This window comes from Homo sapiens, chromosome 12, assembly GCF_000001405.40.
Source record: "Homo sapiens chromosome 12, GRCh38.p14 Primary Assembly".
Taxonomy (NCBI): Eukaryota; Metazoa; Chordata; class Mammalia; order Primates; family Hominidae; genus Homo; species Homo sapiens.
Genome location: NC_000012.12, coordinates 31,581,863 through 31,589,796, shown reverse-complemented (window position 1 = coordinate 31,589,796; position 7,934 = coordinate 31,581,863). Strand labels below are relative to the sequence as shown.

The following is a 7,934-nucleotide window of genomic DNA, read 5'->3' as shown; positions in this document are numbered from 1 at the left end:
CTGTTCCTTTCTGCTTGCCTCCGCGGGATCTGAATCTTGATTTGTTGTTGTTGTTAAATGGGTGAGAGAAGTGACATCTACCGCCTGAACTTTGTGTTAAAGACTTAGGTCATAGCCTTTCAGAACAACTTCCTTTGGACAAATAATTCCTTATTGATTGCACTAACGTAAATTTTTCGCTTTTCCTTTGGTGGGGGTGGGGAGACTGGGAAGAATATATTAAATAATAAACAATAGTAAACAAAACTGTTCAGCCTTAAAATACAGTCCCCATCAACCCACGTCTTGGCTATCTTCTTCTTAACTCAGCTTCAGAGCAAAACATTTTCTTTTTTTCATATTCTTCGGAGGTAGAAACACAAAACATTTTCAACAAAAACTGTAAGTCTAGTTTTAGTTAAAAAAAAATTTGGAGAGATAATAGAATACCAAGTTTTTCCGTATGTGTAATTATGTAATCACATTGTTTCTTCAACTAAGATTTCATGTACATGTTAAGAATGGCTTTGTTAAAGGATATGAAGAAAAAATGTCTGCAGAGAGATTTGGAGAGATTCTTCTCGAGATTGGTGAAGGAATATTGTTATTTTTCTAGACTCCTTTCTTCCCTAAAGATCCTAAACATTTGTGGCACCAGGGTCACTTGGAGGCCTTCTGTCAGTGATGACTAATGAAAGGAAAAAAGCCTGTATTTTTCTTTTCCGTTTGCCTACTGAAGCTAAAACTGTACCTTTTAGGTGTGACCTAGGACTCTTTAGGCACAGAGAGAATGATGTTAACAAAACCATCAATTAGACTTTAATGCATTTTTAAGAAACAAACTATGATGTCTCTTTTTGCAAAACTGTGTGAGTGTGGGTGATTGGGATTTCTGCTTCTCATAATATTTAATGTATTCAGGTAATAATGTATTTTGCCTTGTAATATTTCAGTATCATTCATCCAACAGTTTTGAAAGCATCTATCTGTAGTCGGTTTTTTAGGCACTGGGGACAGCTGTGAAGAAAGCAGTCAGAAATCCCTGCCATCATGGAGCATACGTTCTAGTGTAAAGAGATAATGAAAATACAATCATCTCTCCGTAACCATGGGGGATGGATTCTAGAGTGTCCCCCACACCAAAATCCTCGGATGCTGAAGTCTCTTATAATAAAATGTTGTAGCATTTGTATATAACCTATGAACATTTTCCTGTACACTTTGTCATCTCTAGATTACTTACAATACCTGTTACGTTGTAATGTTATGTAAATAGTTGTTATACTGTATTGTTTAGGGAATAATGACAAGAAAAGAAGTCTGTACATGTTCAGTACAGATGCAACCATTGTAGGCCTAACTACATTTTCAATCTGTGCTTGGTTGAATCTGTGGATGCGGAGTCCACGTGAAGTGCCGACTGTATATAGTTCTCCAGATGTTAATAAGTGCTATGAGGAAAAATAAAGCAGGGGAGTGGATTTAGGGACATGCCAGCAGAGTGGTGGGATGGTGGGGTTGTGATTTTAAATAAGATGGTTAGGGAAGGCCTCACAGGGAGGGTGACATTTGAACAGAGCCTTGAAGGACATGAGGAAGCAGGCCAGATGGATCACCTGGGGGCACAGCATTGCACGCAGAAGAAACAGCAAGTGCGAAGACCCTGAGTGGGACAGTCACTAGTTTGTGCTGGTAACAGCAAGGAGTCCAGTATGGCTGGAGCTGAGGGAGAGGGAGAGTAGTAGGTAAGATCAAAGAGAAAGGGCAGGGGAGATTGTATAGGGCCTCATGCAGTTTTTAGGCTTTTAACTCTGAGATGGGAAAGTATTGGAAGGTTTTGAGCAGAGTAATGACAAGATCTGATGTGCCTTCTAAAATGACTGTTGTGGCTGCCATGTTGGGTAGACTATATCAGGGCAGGGGTAGAGGCAAGAGACCAGTTAGGGAGCTCTTTCAGTATTTGAGGTGAGAGGCTGGATGCTGTGGCTCACGCCTATAATCCTAGCACTTTGGAAGGCCGAGGCAGGTGGATCACTTGAGGTCAGGAGTTCAAGACCAGCCTGGCCAATATGGTGAAACCACATCTCACCTGAAAATACAAAAAGCTGGGCGTGGTGGCACATGCCTGTAATATCCCAGTTACTCTGGAGGCTGAGGCAGGAGAATCGCTTGAACCCAGGAGGTGGAGGTTGCAGTGAGCTGAGATCGTGCCACTGCACTCCAGCCTGGGCAACAGAGGGAGACTCTGTCTCAAAAAAAAAAAAAAAAAAAAAAAAAAAAAAAAAAAAAAAGGTATTTGTGGTGAGAGAAGTTGTTGGCTTGGTGAAGCAGCAGGAAGGACTCAGATTCTAGATAGATGTTGAAGGTAGGCCCAACGAGATTTGCTGATGATTTATATGAATATGTATGAATTCTATGAATATGGTAGTCATATTCAAAGAAGTGATCAAAGATGACTCCAAGATTTTGGGGCTGAACAATTATAAACTTCTCTCCTGAAATAGGAAGACTGATGGAGAATCAGACTGGAAATCAGTTCAGTTTTGGATGTATTAAGTTTGATGTGTCCATTAGACATTCAAATGGAGATGTCACATAGACAAGACATCTCTTGGGGGAAGATCTGGACTGTAGGTATAAATTTAAAGCCATGAAATTACTTAAGGGTTGAGTATAGATAGAAAAGAGAGGAGGACACGCAAATGATTGAGCCCTGGGGCCATTCTAGCATGCATAGGTGGGGAGGATGAGGAGGAGGAGGCAACCGAGGAGATTAAGGAGTGTGGATAGTGACATGGCAGGAAAACAGGAGAATGTCATATCATGTTCTCAACTAAGAATTTTCTTGACTATTTCCGTAGAGCAACATTTGGGGATCATGAAACTGTGTTAGGCAAATTAGCCAGAAGGTAGTTTCTGTTTTGCTGCATTAATTTCAAAGTTAATGATAGTCAAGTTTCTATTTTGCCTTGCTGGAGCTGATCTGTCTTTATCACACTTTCTTAGCAAGTTGTCACCGTGCCTCTAGAAGGTCTTAATTGACTTCTATTAAACATAAATTCTACCAGTTGCTTCATAGACTTTCTTAACATACGCATATTCCTAGAATTCACACTCTGCAGGTGGTGGGACATTGAAATCAAAGACAACAACAGTTAAATAGACTAAGACCTTATAATAAAACTTATCAAGGCTTCAAATGGTTTTTAGACCCTCCTAGTAAAACCAAGCTTAAACAGCAATGGAAGAGACTTCTTTCATCTCAAATACGTAGAACTCTTAATAGCTGAAAATAATTTAACTATATACATAAAAATATATTTTAAAATGGAGGACTTAGAAACTTTATGGTGATGTCCACATGTATATACTGATATACTCATATTACCTGTCGTCCTTTCTGTACCACATCGAAGTTCTTGTGCTTCTCCTACCCACTGTATATTTTCAAGAGGTACTTTGCCCATGAACAAAACGTCCTTTGGGAGAAATGTTTAAATTCCCTTTAAATATTAAAGATAAGGAAAAGGTTTCAAAACGAGATTCTTTATTGCATGTAGAAGAAAGGAGGTATAAATGGAGGTAAATCATGCAATTAGTTGATGTCAGGGAAGGCAGACATCATTTTGAAATCTTATTTTATAGCTTTTATTTCCTTTAAGACCTGGCTGTAGGAGTACACATGGCTTAATTTACAGCAGTCAATCTTTTGAGCAATGGGAAAATGAAGGACATGATAAGGCCTTGATTAAGTAAAATAAATATACAAGCCCTCTAAGAGAGAAGGGACTTTGCCTCTTTCGTAGTACCTTATATACAGTACACAGTGTTTAATAAGGGAATGAATATAAGTTTACATGAGTCTACAAATTATGTGATGACCAGAATATTCTTAAAGTGTTCCCTTGGTAGCCTGGATTCAGCCCTCCTAATAGTTGTCGAAGTCTGATGGATGAGATCTCTGCCATAGAACTTTGTTTAGATCTTTTCCTTAGTGTCTCTCTCTAGCTATTTTTAGCTTTGGTTGTGTTGGGTGTGGTTTTCAAAAGAGCGTAGAGACGGTGGAGACCATGATCTGAATTCAAATAAGCAGAACATTTAGTCAAGACTGACAGAATATCATGTCACGTTAGTTCTTGAAGGGACCTTAGACATATTTATGGTAAAGAGACTGAGGCTCAGAGATTAAGGGCCCTCTCAGATTACATTTGATCAGCAGTAGACACCTGACTAGTGCCTGGTGGTTCCAGTCCACTATGCTCCATAGTTATTCTATTTAAACTCAGAAAAAAGATGAGCTTGACTCATTCAACAAGCATTTCAGGATTGCCCTTATTCCAGACTGAATGTCATAGTCAAGACTGTGCTGAAGTGTGTTTTTTAAAAACAGTGGCCGGGTGTATAGGCTTAATTGGGATAGAAGCTGCCGTGATCCAAATACCATTGATACTGTGTCAATTGTTAGCTTTGTTGACATCCTTGGCTCACAATAGGTTCTTGGGAGTTTGGAAGGTCTGCCCCGGGTAGCTCAGGGGCTGGGGAAGGAGTAGTACAGGGATCAGCCTTCATTTTAATGAGGCCAAAGAAGATTCAAGATCTGGTTGCTGTGTGCTAGTTTGGCTCTTTGTCCCCAAACCTCATGTTGAAATTTGATTCCTAATGTTGGAGGTGGGGCTTATTGGGAGATATTTGGGTTATGGGGGCAGATCCCTCGTTAATGGCTTGGTGCCCTCCTAGAGGTAATGGGTGAGTTCTCCCTTTATGAGTTCCCACAAGAGCTAGTTGTTAAAAAGAGTCTGGCACCACTCCCCTACCCTCTTCGTTCCTCTCTCTTGCTATGTGATCTCTAATTGGCTAGCCTTCTGCCATGAGAGGAAGCAGCCTGAAGCTCTCACCAGAAGTAGATGCTGGCGCCATGCCTCTTGCGTAGTATAGCCGCCAACTATTTCTTTTCTTTTTCTTTCTTTTTTTTCGGGGAGGGTGGGTGGGGGGTGTGGGACAGAGTCTCTGTTACCCAGGCTGGAGTGCAGTGGTGCAATGTTGGCTTATTGCAGCCTCAATCTCCTTGGGCTCAAGCAGTCCTTCACCTCAGTCTCCCTAGTAGCTGAGACCACAGGCATGTGCCACCATGCCTGGCTAATTTTTGTATTTTTTGTAGAGATGGGGTTTTGCCATCTCTACAAAGATGTTGCCTAAGCTGATCTCAAACTCCTGAGCTCAAGCAGTCCACCCATCCTTGGCCTCCCAAAGTGCTGGGATTACAGGCAGTGAGCCACCATGCCTGGCTGCGCCATTTCTTTATAGACTACCCAGCCTCAGGTATTTTCTTTATAGCAACACGAAAACAGACTAAGACACTGTGGTATAATGATCATTTAATTTTGGAAATCTACTGGAAATAAAACTCTTTATAGTGAAATTGGCCCAAGAGTGAGTGAAGCTAAATTCTCTGTGATAACCCCAAGGCTCAGGCTTATGGCCCATTTTGTTAATACAGGACACACCAGCATAGACAACTGGGAAGACAAGGGAGGGGAAGAGGGTGAGACATAGTGTCTTTGAGGGAGGAGAGAAAGGGAAAGAAAAGGGGACAGGGAGAGAGAAAGGAGGCTGGAGGAGTACAAGTTCTGTTTGCTGCTAAGGTGTTAAGACAGACTGTCCTAAAATTCCTGTGCACATCCTTTTGCTTGTATTTCCACTGTTGGTCACAGATACTCTCAGAGTAATAAAAGTAAATATCTAGAATACAATGCATTGTTAGTCATGATTTCCATAAAGCTTCATACGGAAGAAAACAATTTCCTCTTCTATAATTTACTGAATGGTAGAGATGGTTCTATACAGGATGCTTTAGGAAACGTGCCATATGCCTGATCCTTAGCATTTTTGTTTAATAATGACCTAAATTTTGTTTTTGGTAAAACCATAACTAGCTATTATATTTTGGATTATTTAATGTTAAATGCTTACAGTGTGTCAGATTCTGGAGTACATACGTAAGTGGTGGCCACTGTCCTATAAGAATCTGTGATGAAATAGTAAAATAGCTAACATTTATAGAGTGCTTTCCACATGCCAGACACTGTGCTAAATTCTTGTTGTTGTTGTTGTTTGTTTTTGTTTTTGTTTTTGTTTTTTCCCAGACACAGTCTTGCTCTGTTGCCCGGGCTGGAGTGCAGTAGCGTGATCTCGGCTCACTGCAACCTCTGCCTCCCAGGTTTAAGTGATTCTCGTGCCTCAGCCTCCCAAGTAGCTGGGACTACAGGTGCGTGCCACCATGCCTGGCTAATTTTTGTATTTTTTGGTAGAGACGGAGTTTCATCATGTTGGCCAGGCTGGTCTTGAACTCCTGACCTCAGGTGATCCTCCTGCCTCGGCCTCCCAAAGTGCTAGGATTACAGTTGTGAGCCACCCCACCCAACCACTGTGCTAAATTCTTTATAGTCAGTACCTCATTCAGTCTGGACAACAACCTTAGGAAATAGGCATTCTTTTCTCTCTCTCTCTCTTTTTTTTTTTTTTTTAAAAGACTGAGTCTCACTCTGTCGCCCAGGCTGGAGCGCAGTGGCGCTATCTCTCCTCACTGCAATCTCCGCCTCCCGGGTTCAAGTGATTCTCCTGCCTCAGCCTCCTGAGTAGCTGGGATTACAGGCACACGCCACCACACCTGGCTACTTTTTGTATTTTTAGTAGAGATGGGGTTTCACCATGTTGATCACGCTTATCTAAAACTCCTGACCTTGTGATCCACCCACCTTGGCCTCCCAAAGTGCTGGGATTACAGGCGTGAGCCACCACGCCTGGCCTGTTTTCTCTTTTGTACACAGGAGGAAACTGAGTCTAGAGAATGAATACTTTACTTCAGTTCCTATAATAAGTAAGAAGCCTGGATTGAAGATCTGTCTGACATAATTCATCCATACCCATAACATCCATACCCATAACCACTATATTTGCTGTCTCCCTAGTAACATATGCTGTATCATACAGATTGTAAAATCTACCAGAATATAGATCCCAAATGGGTAACCTTATCGTCAAGTGAAATTATCTTCTTATTCCTCTATATGGGAAAGATATTAAAGGCGACACTATCGGGCAGGCCTTTATGACCTGACCTAGCTTGTTTCTTCTTTGGTCAGCACTAGTAATTTCTCTTGCATGCATTTCCTCATTCATTCATCACAGATTTAGATTTAGAAGATTATATATTTAATGATATTTTTGCTTTTGTCAATGAATATTTTTAAAGATAAGGTGTTACTGTATAAAGGCTTTTACTATGAAATATACCACTTTTAACTTTTTAAAAAACCTCTTTGCTCTTCTTACTGGGTTTTATCATTTCTTAGCATAAATAATTTGTCATTAGGTGAGTTTATAGTTTTTTAAAGGAATGTATGAATGCTTGTGAAACCATAGCTGGCAGGGCAGTGAGTACAGCAGTTAGAGCTGAATGCACAGTCAGAAGCTGAGATTCCATTCCTGGCCTGTCACTTATGACAGCCGCAGGCATCAGTGTTCTCGTCTGTCTTGAAAAGGGTTAAATGAGATGAATGATTTCTAACTACCACCCTTGGGGCCTGAAATTGTTTTTGAGTAAAAAAACTAAGTTTATCTGTTAAAAAAAAATTAATCCTAAATGTCATAGAACAAGAGGACGAGTACACACCACATGTATAGTCAGCCCTCCATGTGTGTGGGTTCCACATCTGTGGATTAAACCATCATCAAATTGAAAATACAGTGTTCCAAAAAAAATAAAAACCAAAAATTGTGGTTGCATGTACGTGTTTTTTGTTCTCGCTATTGTTCCCTAAACAATACAGCATAACAACCATTTACATGGAATTTGCATCGTACTGAGTATTATAACTAACCAGGAGGTGACTTAAAGTGTACGGGAGAATGTGCGTATGTTATCTGTACGTACTACACGATTTTATGTAAGGGGC

General features: G+C 40.6%; 1 protein-coding gene across 17 annotated transcripts in view, besides 1 other annotated feature; it reads left to right on the top strand.

Moving 5' to 3' along the window:
* Positions 1-7,934, top strand: part of DENND5B (DENN domain containing 5B) — a 208,911-nt gene that overhangs the window by 1,340 nt on the left and 199,637 nt on the right. The gene's annotated exons all lie outside the window — the stretch shown is intronic.
* Positions 61-140: an enhancer, noted in NCBI's record as "active region_6168". NCBI's record gives its function as "activates an Ori minimal core promoter by ATAC-STARR-seq in GM12878 lymphoblastoid cells {active_cell/tissue: GM12878}" and the evidence as "EXISTENCE:reporter gene assay evidence [ECO:0000049][PMID:35858748]".